This window comes from Homo sapiens, chromosome 5 (genome assembly GCF_000001405.40).
Source record: "Homo sapiens chromosome 5, GRCh38.p14 Primary Assembly".
NCBI classification, from domain to species: domain Eukaryota; kingdom Metazoa; phylum Chordata; class Mammalia; order Primates; family Hominidae; genus Homo; species Homo sapiens.
The window spans coordinates 149,734,717-149,750,702 of NC_000005.10; the positions used below are offsets into that span (position 1 = coordinate 149,734,717).

A 15,986-nucleotide genomic window follows, 5' to 3' on the forward strand; every position below is an offset into this window, starting at 1 on the left:
GGGAACACCTGGTTTCCTATACCCAGATAACTGTTGATATTTTCATTGTTTTTCATTTTTACCAGTCTGTTCGTCAATAAATTCTGTTACCCTTATTGTTTTAATGTGCATTTATTTGATTACTTGTGATGCTAAACTTCTTCCCCATATGATCATGGGTGACTTGTGGTTCTGTGTTTCTGAACTTGGCCCATTTTGCAATTGGTATCTTGTCTCCTCGTTGTTCTAAAGCTGGGACTGAGCACCCAGAAGGGCCCCCTGCCACATGGAGAACTGGGAAAATGGCTCCACACACCCCTTGAAGCCAGGGCCAACTTCTTTTTCAAATCAGTTTGTAGATTTGGACAAATGTATAGTGTGTGGGAGAAGATTGAAGCATAGCCTTCACTGGGTGCATTTGCCCATTCTTTATCTGTGTGAGACTTAGGGAGAGTAACTTCTTCACCTGAGCCAGAAGGGGTCATGTTCACCAGAGACCTGGGCTCCACTTTCATTGGGATTCCCTGGCTGGTGCTAATGATCAGGATGCCTGTGAAACCCAGGAAGGGCAATGGCCCAGCAGCTGTGCCCCACGGGCTCATATTTCCTCTTTACCTTAGGGCCCTCCTCTTAGCAGCTCGTGCAGGCCAGGCAGAAGTTCCACTATGCCACGTGAGTCACCCTCTTCCTTCTTCCTCTGGAATAATAGAAGAAAGACTGGCTCGAGTGAGAAGCAGTCTTGCAAAGGGGGCTCAGGCTTGGAAATGCCTAACAAGAATATTGCAGTGTTGATCCTTGCCTTCTCCTTCATCGTCATCATCAGTGACGTTTACTGAGTATCCCCTATACCCCATGCAGTTTTCTGAGCCTTCTGTTTGCACTACTACATTTCATTCTCATAGATATTGTGCAAAATGTAGGTGCTGTTGCACAGCTGTACAGATCTTACAGTTTCAGAGAACTCACTGACTTGTGGAAGACTAATTACCTTTGAGTAAGTAGAAGAGCCAGCATTAGTGGGCAGTGTTCCCAGACTATTTGACTCTAAGCTCCTTGAAGACAGGGGCTACTCTCAGTTTTTGTTCATCAGTGTTTTTCTAGCACCTTGAGCAAATGAAGGCACATAGATTGTATAGAGAGAATGCAGAGGCCGGGTGCGGCGGCTCACGCCTGTAATACCAGCACTTTGGGAGGCCAAGGCGGGCAGATCACGAGGCCAGGAGTTCGAGATCAGCCTGACCAACGTGGTGAAACCCCGTCTCTACTAAAAATACAAAAATTAGCCGGGCGTGGTGGTGTGTGCCTGTAATCCCAGCTACTCAGGAGGCTGAGGCCAGAGAATTGCTTGAACCCGGAGAATTGCTTGAACCCAGGAGGCGGAGGTTGCAGTGAGCTGAGATTGCACCACTGCACTCCAGCCTAGGCAACAGAGTGAGACTCCATCTCCAAAAAAACAAAAAAGAAAGAATGCAGAACAAGTCCCTCTGCTTCTCTACGCCTGTTTTTCAATCCTTGAAATGGGGATAATAGGCCCTCTCGATTGGGAGTGAAATAATACAGTATATCTAAAATGAGCATTAACCTGCTACTCATGAAAGTTGGAATAATTCTCTCTTTGAAGCACTTTAGAAGGACAGGATTAAGTATGGAGCTAATTTTCATGCATGCAATCTTTTTTTTTTTTTGCGTAAAAAAGAGAAGCATAATTCTTATTAGAGAGTGAAGGGTACCCAAATAAAGTCATTTGGAAGAAAATGATCAGGGTCAGTTTCTATCTGTCCTCCTACAAGGTAGTCGGAGTGCCTCATATCCATCCCATTGACACTCAGCTGATGCAGAATCGATTGGATTGATCTTTCTGTTCTTCTCCCCTTCTGATCTAGGTTTTTGTCTGTTTGTAACTAGATTCCTGCAGTTACTACCAAAGAGATCTTTGCTGCACCCGACTTTGTCTTCTTCCATTTGCCCTTAGCCCAGATGGCAGATCAGTCCTCTTAGAGTGCATATCTGACATCACTCTCTTGCTCACACATCTCCCATGGCTCCTCAGTACATTTTTTTTTCTTTTAAGACTTTATTTTTTTAGAACAATTTCAGGTTCACAGCAAAATTGAAAGGAAGGTACAGAGATTTGCCATATACCCTTGCCCCCAACATGCATAGCCTCCCCCATTATTAATATTCCCCACCAGAGTTGTAGATTTGTTATAATTGATGAACCTACATTGACACATCATTGCCACCCCAGAGTCTGTAGTTTACATTAGGGTTCACTCCGTGGGTTTGGACAAATCTGTAATGACAGGTATCTACCATGGTAACATCACACAGAATAGTCTCACTGCCCTGGAAATCTGCTCTACCTTTTCATTTCTTCTGTCCCCCAACTCCTGACAACCACTGATCTTTTTACCGTTTGTACAGTTTTGCCTTTTCCAGAATGTCATATAGTTGGAATCACGCAGTATGTAGTGTTTTCAGATTGGCTTTTTTTTCACTTGCTGATAGGAATTTAAGGTTCCTCCATGACTTTCATGGCTTGATAGCTTAGCTCTCCGGTATTTTAAAATTAAAGCCTAAACTTAAACCTGATTTCCGAAGGCCTTCGGGTACTTTTAAGTTGGAGAGTTAGGCCCTTGACTTTGTCTTGAGCTGTCTGCTTTTACTTTGGGATCCTGTACCTCCCCAGGAAAACCCTGAATTTTCCTCCTGGAGGCTTAGACTCAGGCTGCCCTTTTCTGTGTCTTCCTTCTCCATTTCCATGATTCATCCTGCGAGCCCCTGCTCACCAGCCACTGTTTTGGCGATGCCCTCTCCCTCACCTCCAAGCCAGCTGTTCCATCTTCTGTGTGGCAGTACGCAGGGCCAGCAGAGCACTGACCTTGGAATCCCCTTACTGGGTTTGAGTCTTGGTTCTGCGATTTGCCAGCTTCGAGGCCTTTGGCGGGTCACATAACCTTTCTGAGCTTCTGTTTCCTGAAGTGAGAAGATATGATGATTAAGATTGTTGTGAAGAGGCCGGGCACAGTGGCTTACGCCTGTAATCCCAGCGCTTTGGGAGGCTGAGGTGGGTGGATCACCTGAGGTCAGGAGTTCGAGACCAGCCTGGCCAACATGATGAAACCGCGTCTCTACTAAAAATACAAAAATTAGCCGGGCATGGTGGCGCATGCCTGTATTCCCAGCTACTTGGGAGGCTGAGGCAGGAGAATCACTTGAACTGGGGAGGTGAAGGTTGCAGTGAGCCAGGATCACACTACTACACTCCAGCTTGGGTGACAGAGTGAGACTCTGTCTCAAAAAAAAGATTGTTGTGAAGAGTCAGTGAAAATCGAATGACAACATGGATTTAAAGCATGTAACACATGCCTGGCACAGAATAAGCACCAAATAATAGATATATCTCTTCATCTATAGATCATATTAAGTGTTAGGACATCACTCCTGGACGTTAAGCTCCACAAAGGCAAGAATTTTCGTTTATTTCATCCACCTTGTTTTTCACCATAATGAATAGATCAGTGCCTGGAATATAACAGACATTTAATCAGTCCTCATTGAATGATTAGGAAATCACTCCTGGACGTTAAGCTCCACAAAGGCAAGGATTTTCGTTCATTTCACCCACCTTTTGTTTTCACCACAGTGAATAGATCCGTGCCTGGAACATAACAGACATTTAATCAATCCTCATTGAGTGAATGAATATGCTAGACTATGAGCCTCTTCAGGGCAGACACTGCTTCTTGTTTTATATCTTCAGTCTGAGTGTTCCTGAGAAGGGATGGAATACAAGTCTGGTGGAATGAACTGGAATGTCCTCTCCCCGCCACCATCCCTGCCATTTTAATGTATTCATAGCCTACCTGAACTTTAAGCCCCCTCTTGAAAGCCTGCCCTCTCTGGAAAGCATTTTTTTTTTTTTGAGATGGCGTCTCACTCTGTCGCCCAGGTTGGAGTGCAGTGGTGCAATCTCGGCTCACTGCAACCTCCCGGGTTCAAGCGATTCTTCTGCCTCAGCCTCCCAAGTAGCTGAGACTACAGGCATGTGCTACCACACCTGGCTAATTTTTATATTTTTAGTAGAGATGGGGTTTCACCATATTGGCCAGGCTGGTCTTGAACTCCTGACCTCGTGATCCGCTCGCCTCGGCCTCCCAAAATGCTGGGATTGCAGGCATGAACCACCGCGTCCAGCCTCTAGAAAGCCTTTGAAGCTAACTTCTTCTGCTTCCACCACCCACGTGGCTTGTGCCACTTACTATCCCATGGTATCTGAGTGTGCTTTTATTCCTACAACTGGATTGAAAGCTCTGGGAGGACAAGAAATTATTTTTATCCTGGACTAGCAGTGTGGTTGCCTAGAAGAGCGTTTTATAGGTTTCAATGTCAGGTTCTCTGAAAGAACTTTGTATTTTAAACATTTGACTATGGAAAATGTCAACTCATACAGAAGTAGACAGTAGAGAGAACAGTATGGTGAATCCCCATCCCTCCATCACCCAGCGTCCACTGTTAAAGACTTGCAGTCACTCTTATTCCATCTCCATGTACAAGACGTCATTTCATCTGTGACTATTTCGTTGTGTATCTGTGAAGAGACTTCTGAGTGCTATTGCATGGATTTCTCCCAATAACTGTGAGACTGGCTTTCCCCATTTTGTAGGTGATGAAACTGAGGTGCAGGGAGGTTAGGTCAGTTGCTCAGGGTCTTGAAGCTAGTGAGCGGCTTACCTGGGATTTGAACCTTGACTGTGAGCAGCTCCCTCTCCTTCCAGGCTTGGGGCAGGGGGCCCTTGGAGATACAGGTACACCTTGCCATTTCCAGAAGAGAGGAAGCTGAGGTCCAGCTGCTTGGCTGGAGGAAGCCCAGGCCCCTGACTCCCTGGCAAGTTCATTTCCAGTGTCAGGTCTTGCGAGGTGCGGTGGGCCTTAGCTCTTGGGGAGGGCCAGGGTGGGTAGTCCTCTGAGAGACACCATTGCCCTGAGTGGCTGGGCTTTGGATGGCCGTGGGACCCTGGGGCAAGGTCTACCACCACCCCTGGACAGACTGCATTTTCTTCCTACTCTTGTCATTCCTAAATCCCAAAGGTCCTCCTTGCAGCTGACCACGAGTTCTCTCATGAGATGCTCAGGACTACCCAGTGAGGGAGAGGGAGCCAAGGGGTCAGCAGCTGGGTTCACAGAGCTCAGAGAGGAGGGGCCTGGCCTGAGGTCACCCAGCTGGCCTGGGCACAGGGTTGACAGGCTCTTGGTGGCATCTGGACCCTTGGGCTCCCACCCTGCTCTTTCCTCAGGATAGAGACCGAATTGCTACCCAGATCTGGAGTAGGAGACCAGAGACGAGACCTGAGAGACTTTCACAAATGGTGGGATAAAGCCATTGATTAACTGTCCCCAAAGGCCTGTGATGACTGTTTGGTGTTTTAGGTAAGAAAACAAACATTTGCCCTAATTGTTTGCTTCAGTGACTGAGAGGGCTGTGAATTCTAGGATGGGGTTCTGCTTGGGCAAAGCCCTGGGAGCTTGGCAGAGAATTTCTTTTGGCCTTCTTTTTCTATCTAGGAAATGGGGACGATAGTAGCATATGCTTTGAAGGCTTTTAGTGAAGAATAGTTGAGGCAATGTCTGTAAAGTGTTCAGAAATGCTCAATGAGTAGTAACCCTTGTTATTATGAAAAGGGGACACATGTAATGCAGACCCTGCCATTTGTCTTCCCTCTGAGCTCCAGGTCCTTGATCTAGTCGAGGCCCTGAGGTTCTTCTTGCAGAGTGTTTTTTCCTCTCTACTTGTGGGGCAGGTGACGAGGGATCCCATCCAGCCTTAGCAAGTGTTGCAATACTGACTTAGGAAACCACTTCTAGTGAGATGCCACTTGAAGAGAGAAGAAATACCCAATAGTGGTTAAGAGCTCTAGGCTTTGGAGTTTTAACTGCCTATGGTTTAAATCAGTGCTCTACCACTTACTAGCTATGTGACCTTGAGCAAGTATCTTAACTTCTCTGACCTCAGTTTCTTCATATATTATCCCCCAAATTGGGGATAATAATAGTATGCTCTTTGTAGGATAACTTAAGATAGCTGCAGATAATTAAGGCTTGCAGCTTCACCTGACATATAGTAAGCGCTCAATAAATGGTGGTCACTAGGATGATGACAACGACAATGATGTAAAAATATAAAACACACAAATGTCAATTTGAGCTTTCTGGGAGTTGGGAGTGCCTTAGAGACGATCTTGCTTAATGCCCTTACCTTGAAGGAAGGAAACAGACTAGAAACAGATCAGAGGATGCCTTCAGGTCACTCAGCAGAGGCAAGACAGGGCCCTCGGCTGCTGTCTGCTTGGCCGGGCTGGCTCTGAGTAGCTGGGACTCAACTGTCTGGGACCCACTGTCTGGGAACTCAGCCGGGTGAGCCCTGCTTGGCTGAGAGATGGATGCTCCCCGACAGCTCTGCAGCCGTATTTTTTCCCTGTGATTGCCTGGCAGAACATAGTCATTTAGCAGAGGGAATGCGAGGAGATGTTAGAAACCAACCAGGCCCTGAGCAGTTGCAGCAGCCGGCCCACGAGTCGCTCCCTGATGTTGCCATGGCAAACAGCCTTGGCAACGTGGCTGCTCGCGCCTTTATTTCTGGTCTCAGGCTCTTTGCAAGGAAGTGTGGTACCCAGAACACTGGGGAGGGCCCTGCCCTGGATCCTTGGCACTGAGGGCAACCCGGCCTTTATGCTGCTAGCAGTCCCAGGCCACAGCAGCCCCTGCTCAAAACACCTGCAGACCCACCCTGCCTTTGCAGAAGCAGACTACTGGGTATGGGATTTGAAGCCTCAAATGTCCATGTAGCTCACTATCCATCTATTTGTCAAATACTGTGTTTGGCAATGCCATACTGTTCCCACCACTGCAAGAGCACAGCCCCAAAATATTCTTTTTTTTTTTTTTTTCGTGAGACAGAGTCTTACCCTGTTGCCCAGGCTGGAGTGCAGTGGCGCGATCTCAGCTCACTGCAACCCCCTCCTCCCATGTTCAAGTGATTCTCCTGCCTCAGCCTCCCGAGTAGCTGGGATTACAGGCGTCTGCCACCATGCCTGGCTAATTTTTTTGTATTTTTAGTAGAGATGGGGTTTCACCATGTTGGCTAGGCTGGTCTTGAACTCCTGACCTCAGGTAATTCAAACCTCTCGGCCTCCCAAAGTGCTGGGATTACAAGCGTGAGCCACCACGCCTGGCATAGCCACATAATATTCTTAACATGAACCCTGGTGTTAAAGGTTCCCAGGCAGGTGTCATCTTCAACCATGTCCTTCAAGGATGGTGATGATGATGATGATGGTGGTGGTGGTGATAACAGTCAACAACTGCTATATCCCCTTCAAGAGATCAGGCCCTGTGCCACATCCTTCACATGTGTAATCACATTTAATCTCAGAGGAACCCCATGAGGCAGTCCCACTGCTATCCCCATTTTACAGTTGGGTAGACCTAGGCCAACCCAGAGTTTGTGGTGCTGGTGCTGTTCTGCAGCTCCTCCCCTATACCAGGCAACCATGGGGGCCCCGCCATGAAGTGTCTGTCCCCTCCCTGTGCCCCTCTCCCATCTGCACCTGCACACTGCAAGGCTCAGCTCAAGTGATGCCTCCTGTAGTTCCCCCTCTCAGAACTGGCCCTTTTTGCTCTGCGATCCCCACAGTCTGCTACAGACACTTTCTGTTCCCTGCCTTCCCTCAATACTCTGCCACTCTGGTGAGTTTATTTCTGCCCTCCAGCCATCCCAAAACAAAACAGAAGGGCAGACTGGCTAAGGAGGAGAGCTCTGACTGTGCTGAGGAGTTTGGACTTGGCAGGCAGTGGGGAGTTGGCAAAGAGTTTTATTATTATTATTCATAACAGTAATAATATAAAAGAGCCAACACTTAGAGACTTATTGGTATGTGCCAGGTACTAAGCTAGGGCCATTAGGTGCTTTACCTTGTTTAATCAACTACCGGTGAGGTTGGCAGTATGGCAAATGAGAAAACAGACTTGGAGAATTTCAGTGACTTCCCCAAATCACCTAGCTAGGAAGTAGGCTGGGATTTGAACCTAGGTTTGTCTGACTTCAGAGCACATGGTCCTAACAATTGCAGTGGTGGCTAATTTGGCTAAGCACATAGAAGGACTGGAATGGTGTAACAGGAGGCATCTTTGGTGTGGCTGGGGTGGGTGGTGGGGCCCATACCCTGCCTCAGCTGTGGGGCTCAGTGGAAATCACTAGATATAGGTAAGAGGGCAGGGGGCTCAGAGTGGTGCCCTCATAGCCAAGATGGGGGTGCAGAAGAGGATTTATATGGGGAGAACATCCATTTATTCAGGGCCCACTGTGTGCCAGGTCTGTTCCTTACTCTGGCCTTCCCTGGAGCCTGGTTAAATGTAAACTGTAGCCTCAGCCCTTTATAACCTTTGTTTATGTGTTTATTCTTTTTTTTTTTTTTTTTTGAGACAGATTCTCGCTCTGTCGCCCAGGCTGGAGTGCAGTGGTGTGATCTCGGCTCACTGCAACCTCTGCCTCCTGGGTTCAACTGATTCTCCTGCCTCAGCCTCCTGAGTAGCTGGGATTACAGACGCCCACCACCACGCCTGGCTAATTTTTGTATTTTTAGTGGAGATGGGATTTCTCCATATTGGCCAGGCTGGTCTCGAACTCGTGACCTCAGGTGATTGCCTGCTTTGGCCTCCCAAAGTGCTGAGATTCCAGGCGTGAGCCACCGTGCCCGGCCCTATTTATTCTTTACTATTCCCTCTTCTCTACCCAGTTGGGACTGGAGCTCATCAAGCTGGTTTTCCATCAAATCCCAGTGACTTAACAGTCCCTGGCACACTGTAGGCCCCCAATAAATAGTTGTTGGATGACTGAATGATGAACAAATGCTGTTCGATCTTTCACAACATTTGCCTGATGTTTGCCTGGCCCAGAGGTCCTTCTTTGTGCCTGGAGACGTGCTAGGATGTGTGGGTGAGGTGAGTGTGGCAGCATTGTACCAGTCCCCACAAGGAGTCACCTGCCCTTGTCACCAAGATAAGTCTTGCACACGAAGGATCAAAGGCAAACACTTTGTGGAGCCTCCAGAACCCACTATCAGAATACACCTCCAGTGCACAGATCTTTGTGGAATGATAAACCACTGCTAGGAATCCAGTCTGTTCCAGGGCATGGCTCTGCCTCAACTGGGGAGGGGCTCAGAGTTTTGAGAGTCTTGGTATCTGCAGGGAGGTGTCTGGTCAGATGTCCCCACATCTTCCCGGGGGATTGAAACCAGCACTTTACACTAGGCCTCATGCCTATGACCCACCCACTTACTCCAGAGAGACTAGGCAGGCTGCCTGCACTCATGAGGAAGGAAGAGAAATCCAGGGAGGTGAAGGGGCAAGAGAGGACTTGGGGACCAGTGACCACAGTGCCCAGCCCAAGAAAATGAACTTCAGGCTGCGTGGATCTTCCCTTGCTTAGAATCTCCTCATATGTTGCACCTGGCACCTTTCCTGCCTAGGGCCAATTCACTCTTAGTTTGCACATGGTTCTTACAAGCTTGGCAGTCATGTCAAGCAAGGCCTCATGATATGAGAAGCAGCACATTGGTTCTGTTAGTGTGTGCCTATGTAGGCATGGGGTGAGAGGTGAGGATCTACCAGAGGCAGACACGTGGACTGCAGCACCGAAGCCAGCTTGGGGCCAATTAGTGAGGGGGCTGAGGGGTCCTGCACACCTGTCTTGTTCCTGAATACATTACTATGTGAAAGCGCAAAGCTCATTGGTGAAGACAGTGTATCGTGTCTGAGGAAAGGTACATTCTGTTCAGTGTTCTCCGAGAAAGCAAGAAAGTGTGAAGTACATTTTGGTATTACCATCAAAAATAGGAAGTCTATCAAAAGCAGGCAAAAGTTTTGGCATTCCAAGTTATTTATAAAGTTTGCATATTGTTAGCATACATAATTCCTTGATGAAGCCAGATGAATGAGTTAGTCTAGCCATAAAGCTTTCTTTGAAAGTTAATGCAATCTCTGAAAATAAGGTGTTGTCTTTTATGTTTCCAAGGCTGCTTAAGGTAGCACAAAGAGTTTGTAGCTCGGCATTAGATAAGTGCTGATTGGCCTCAAGAAACAGTGGCACTTGCGCTTAGTGATTCATAAGAGCTTGGGCTTTAGAGTCTGGTTCAAATTTTAGCTTTGTGACTTTTTTTTTTTTTTTTTTGAGACAGGGTCTTGCTCTGTTGCCCAAGCTGGTGCGATCAAGGAGGCTCACTGCAGTCTCGACCTCTTGGGCTCAAGGGATCCTCCTACCTCAGCTTCCCCAGTAGCTAGGACTAAAGGCATGTGCCACTACACCTGGATAATTTTTTACTTTTTTTAGAGATAGGGTCTTGCTATATTGCCCGGGCTGGTCTCGAACTCCTAGGCTCAAGCGATCCTATTGCCTCGGCCTCCCAAAGTGCTAGGATTACAGGCAGGAGCCACTGTGCCTGGCCAGCTTTGTGACTTTTTAGTTGTGTGATCTAAGGAGTTAGATAGCTGCTCTGTGCTCTAGTTAGCCAGCTCCCAAATGGGAATGATAATAGGACTTACCTGCCAGGCTTGGTAGAACTAATCAGTGGTTCTCAGCCATGAGTGCACATCAGAATCAACTCTGTAGTTTAAAAAAGTCATAATTACACATCTGGGGCTGTCCCAGACCTATAGAGTGAGAATCTTTGAGAGTAGGCCCTTAAGCTTCTCTGTCTTTAAAAAGCTCCCTCTGATGACACCCCTGCTTTGGTACTAAAAATCAGGTACTATTCATAGAGTGTCTGTCATGAACTCTGCCAGTTCCCTCCCCTCTCTCTTTCCTGCCTCAGTGTGGGGTACAGGCTAGCATTTAGGATGAATGACCAGGGAACAGATCGAAAGCCTCTTTATAATAATGCCCGTGGAGAGCAGGGCAACTTCTTTATCAGGCATTTCCATTTGATCTTCACATCAATCTCATGTCATAGGGAAAAGAAGTATTCCCATTTTACAGATGGGAAAATAGAGGTCTAGAGAGTGACTTGGTAGGATCCTGCCGGTAATCAGTTTTCAAATATTCGTCTTGGTCCCTGTGTTTGTCCTCCTTGATCCTCAATCCCACACCCACTTATGGGTCAGCTCATAGGAGGTGGGGGGATTAGGATTACTTTATGAGTGAATGGGTTGGAAGAGAGGAGGAAGAAGGCAGCCTGAGAGAACACAAGTCACCTGCAGACTCCCAGAGGCCAGTGACAGTTTGATGTATCAGGCCCCTTAAAGATCAGAGGGGTGCTGGTCATGGTCCCAGACCATGCAGTAGCTTAGAGGTAGCAACAGGACTAGAATCCATTTCTGATGCCTGATTCACTGCCATCCCAGCTCTGTGTGCTGCTTCCACAGTGTGGTCAGGGTGTGGCTCCACTGATAATAGAATTAGTCTTCTAGCTAGTGTAGTGAGGCCTTTGCACTTGCTGTTCCCTCTGCCGGCAACGCTCTTCCCAGGCATTGCCATGGCTTGCTGCTTCCTCACCTCCTTCCTGTCCTGTCAGGTGTCATCTCCTCAAATGACCACCATTCTACTTTCTGTCTCTATGATTTTGGTTGTGACATGGTTTCTCATACAAGTGGGATCACAGTATTTGTCTTTTTGTGGCTGGCCTATTTTACTTAGCATAGTGTCATCAAGGCTCATCTCTATTGGGGCAAATGTCAGGATTTCCTTCCTTTTTCAGGTAGAATAATATTTCACTGAATATGCCACATTTTGCTTATCCATTCATTTGTTAGTGAATACCTGGGTTGCTTTCACATTTTAGCTATTGTGAATGATGGTGCTATGAACATGGGTGCACAAATATCTCTTGGAGACCCTGACTTCAACCCATTTGGGTATATGCCCAGAGGTGGAATTGCTGGATTATATGGTAGTTCTATTGTTAATGTTTTGAGGAACCACCATACTGTTTTCCATGGTGGCTGTACCATTTAACATTCCTACCAACAGTGCACAAGGGTCCCAATTTCTCCATATCCTCTCTAACACTTCCTGTTTTCTGTTTGTTTCTTTAAATAGTAGCCATCCTAATGGATGTGAGGTGGTTATCTTATTGTAGTTTTGATTTGCATTTCCCTAATGACTGAGCATTTTTTAATGTGTTTACTGGCCATTTGCATATCTTCTTTAGATAAATGTCTTTTCAAGTCATTTGCCTGTATTTTAAAATTGGGTTGTTTGTTTTTTGTTGTTGTTGACATTTAGTTCTCTTTACATTTGAGATACTAATCTCATCAGATATGATTTGCAAATATTTTCTCCCATTCTATGTGTTGCCTTTTTATTCTGTTGATAGTGTCTTCTAATTCACAAAATTAAATAATTTTCACGTAGTCTAATTTGTCTATTTTTTCTTTTGTTGCCTCTGCTTTTGGTGTCATATCTAAGAAATCATTTTCAAACCCAATGTCAGGAAGCCTTTGCCTGCTTTGTTTTTTTCTAAGAGTTTTAGAGTTTGAGCTCTTTCATTTTTATCTTTGATCCATTTGGAGTTAATGTTTATATATGGTGTAAGGTAAGAGTCCAACTTCATTCCTTCGCATAACTGAATGTGTCTTGAATGAGTGAGTAGTTGGCTAAGTCCTTAAGCTGTACAGGCTGCCGAGCTCACCTAACCCTCCTAACAGTGTCAGGAGAAAAATACTTTTAGCACCATTCTTCACGTGAGCCTGATGCTCAGAGGGTGAGTGTGGGGCTTGGGGACATAGCTCCTTTGCTGACCAAGCCACACAGAGGTCCCCAGGGCCCAGCAGGCAGGCATGACCAGGGCCCCGCCCCAAAATATCATGCCCCAGTGCCCTAGTGGCCTCATGCCACTTTCTCCTTGGGGTTGGGCAACAGCTCCTCCCTGCCCTGTGGGTGTGGACACCAGGTACCTGCCCAGCAGCGCCTGGGGCCTCCAGCCTACTCCAGCACTGCTCTTTGTCCCAGTGGCTGAAGGAGTGGCAGCCTGGCTTGTACTTTCTGGTCCAGCCCCAACAGGAATGTGGCAATCTCCTCCCACTGTGCCTGCATCCACACCTCCCTGGTGGGGTGGGGGTGGACCATGGGCAGGCACCATAGCAGGCAAAACTAGAGGACAGTGATGGTGTCTTGGGTGGAAGCTGCTTTGCCAGAGGCCCATCTCCTGAGAGGCTAGAGCAGGCCCAGGTTGGTGAATCAGGTTCCAGGGAGAGCAGGGTGGGGTTGAGGAGTGGGTGAGGAGCCAAGCAGGAGAGGGAGGTGGAGGTTTAGAATCCACCCTAAGAGGAGAAGAAAGCCCTCCTTTGCTCAGCTGGCCTGCCAGAAGATTTTCAATGATATGGTTGTGAAACAACCAGAGGAGGGGCAGTACCAGCCGGTTCCAGGTGATGAGCACAGCCCAGGGTCTGAGGGCAAGTGGGAGGCACACGAGAACAGTGAAGAACAGAGCTCTGAGTCAGCCTGAGTCCAGGGTCTGTCAGTTAGCTGCTGACTTAGGGCATGGTACTTATTCTGCCTGGGCCTTAGTTTCCTCACCTGTGAAATGGGGTGAAGAGATATAGATATAGATATAGATATAGATATAGATATATCTATATATATATATCTCAGTGGGTAGTTGAGTTGAGAAGATGAGAAGGTACAATGTCTGAAGAGCTTAGTGCAGTGTGTCTGGGTGTTATGATCAATAATAATGACAATTACCAGTGACCAGATGGTTTGGTGACAGTTTAGTGGAGGAAGCCGTGCAGCAGTCACTCCTTGTGCACGGGAAACCAGTTGCAGATTTGAGCAAGCCTTGCTCCCTGCCCTGGATGAACAGATCTGCTGATGGCCATGGAAGGTGCCCAGGGCAGAGTGTCAAGACAACTTTTGCAGCAGAAAGGGTATTGAAGGATGAGCAGGAGCTGGCCAACATGATGGGAGGGGCCTCCTAGCCAGGGACCAGGCTGTCGTGATGGCTAGCATATCATGTGGCTGATGACTGAGCAATGAGTGGCTAGGTGAGAGGCTTGAGGGGAGGCTCTGAGCTGACTGGAGGACTCCCCATGGGGGTGAGGAACAGACAGCATGAACGAAATGTCTGGAAGAATCCAAAGATGGAACACCAAGATTCTCGTCCGAGAAACTAGCTGGAGGCTGCTCTGCAGAAGGGGAAAGGCCTTGGGGAGGTTTCAGAAGGAGAGTGACTTTGAGGGTGACTAGTTCTTCCCTGGGCCTCACAGGCAGCATGGGATGAATGGTATCACCCTGTGGACTGCACCGCTCCTCCCCAGGCCCTAGGAGTGAGTGGGGGACATGCAGGGATTTGTGTTAAGGATTGACACAAAGGCTGGGGTACAGCTTCTCATATGTAGTCCTGACTCAAGTCCCTGGCTCAATACAGCAGGAATCGGTGGGGCCAGGCACCACAGAACCACTAGGTACAGCCCTCAATAAATTTAATGATGCAGATGATACTTAGTGCCATCATAATGATTATTACTCCTATTTACCGTTATACCTGTTAGTGTGTCACTGCGAAATTCACACAGCATTTTCACATCCACAGTTCACATCCTTGTGAGGATTTTCATTTCTGTTTTGCTGATGAAGAACCCAAGGCCCAGGGATGTGAAGTGACTTACCCGCTGAGGTCACTGTTGTAGGAACTGGACGGGAATGTGAGACTTGTGGCCCTTCAGATCTGCCTGGTTGAGAAGAGAGATGTTTTTTGAATGGAGCCCCTCCGCTACTGCTGTCTGAGTTCCCTGCCTTATCTTGAATTCTTTTTGGAGCAATGATCTCCAGTCTTTTCGGAATTGCCACATCTCGCCATTGTATGATTTTGCAACAGTTGCAACTGTGAAACGCCCCCAGAAAACTGTAATCTCCATTGATCTCTATGTAATTTAGAGTTAGGGAAGAGGAAAATCTTGTTTTTTGCATCTGTGCTGGAAAGAAGAGTGTCATGGTGAGAATATTGTACCTGGAGTCTGGAGGGAGCCCTGGGCTGTTCCTCTTTGCTGTGTGACCTTGGACAGGTCTCGCCCCCTCTCTGGCCCTGAGTTTCCTAATCTCTGCCATCCTGTGACTCATTATCTTTCTAAACGTGAGCTGTTTTAAAGTGTCACAAGTCTGGGATTGTGAATCATGGGGGCTGTTTTGCTTTGGTAAATTCTGCTTGGAGCTGAACCACCAGGTACTGGATAGAGAGGGAGACTAGTTCCTGGAGACAGATGGACAGATGGAGCTAGGAAACAGTCTCATCGCAGATGGTTAATGTACTTTCCCTGCACCCAGTGGGTAATGTCAGTGTAGGTTCTTAACTCCCCAGGTTATGGCCCCTTTCCTGGTGACAGGTGCAATGCTGACTTCTCTTTGAACTGTAAGTTGGAAGAAATTTGTCATGGGATCATGTGCCTTAAACGAGTGGGTTTGGAAGGAGGAGAAGGTGGAGGAGGAACTCCAGGCAAGAGAATCCCTGATTTCCAACCTCCCCAGTGAATCACGGAACATTGGATAAGTCATTCATGGGGGTGGAAAGATTGGGTGAGAATTGGGAACTTCAGGCCAGATTTTTTTTTTTTAAAGGAGCAAGTCATTCAAAATCCTCTACTGACAGATGATATCTACAATAATTTCTTCCCCTTTTCCACAGCATTATTTTATCCACCTTGAATCATTTTTTAAAATCTATAAAACAAACTTTCTTTTAGCTGTCTTCTCTGTTTTAGTTAAAATATATATATATATATATATATATATATATATATATGTTAATAGGGGAAGGAAGGTGTCAGTGAATACTCAGATACCCCAGGGGTCTGCAGACTTGGCTGTGGGTGCTCTTTGAGGTTCAGAATGGCCATTCTTGGGCCCCAGCCCCTGGTGTCTTTCACACAGAGCTGCTTACAGAGCCGCTGCTGGCTCAACCATGAGGTCTGTAATTATTTAAAGAAAGCTCACATCAAGTGGAAAAAGAGTGAAC

General features: G+C 47.1%; 1 protein-coding gene across 5 annotated transcripts in view; it reads left to right on the top strand.

The window, feature by feature from the left end:
* PPARGC1B (PPARG coactivator 1 beta) overlaps positions 1-15,986 on the top strand; it is a 127,650-nt gene that overhangs the window by 4,407 nt on the left and 107,257 nt on the right. The window lies entirely within an intron of this gene.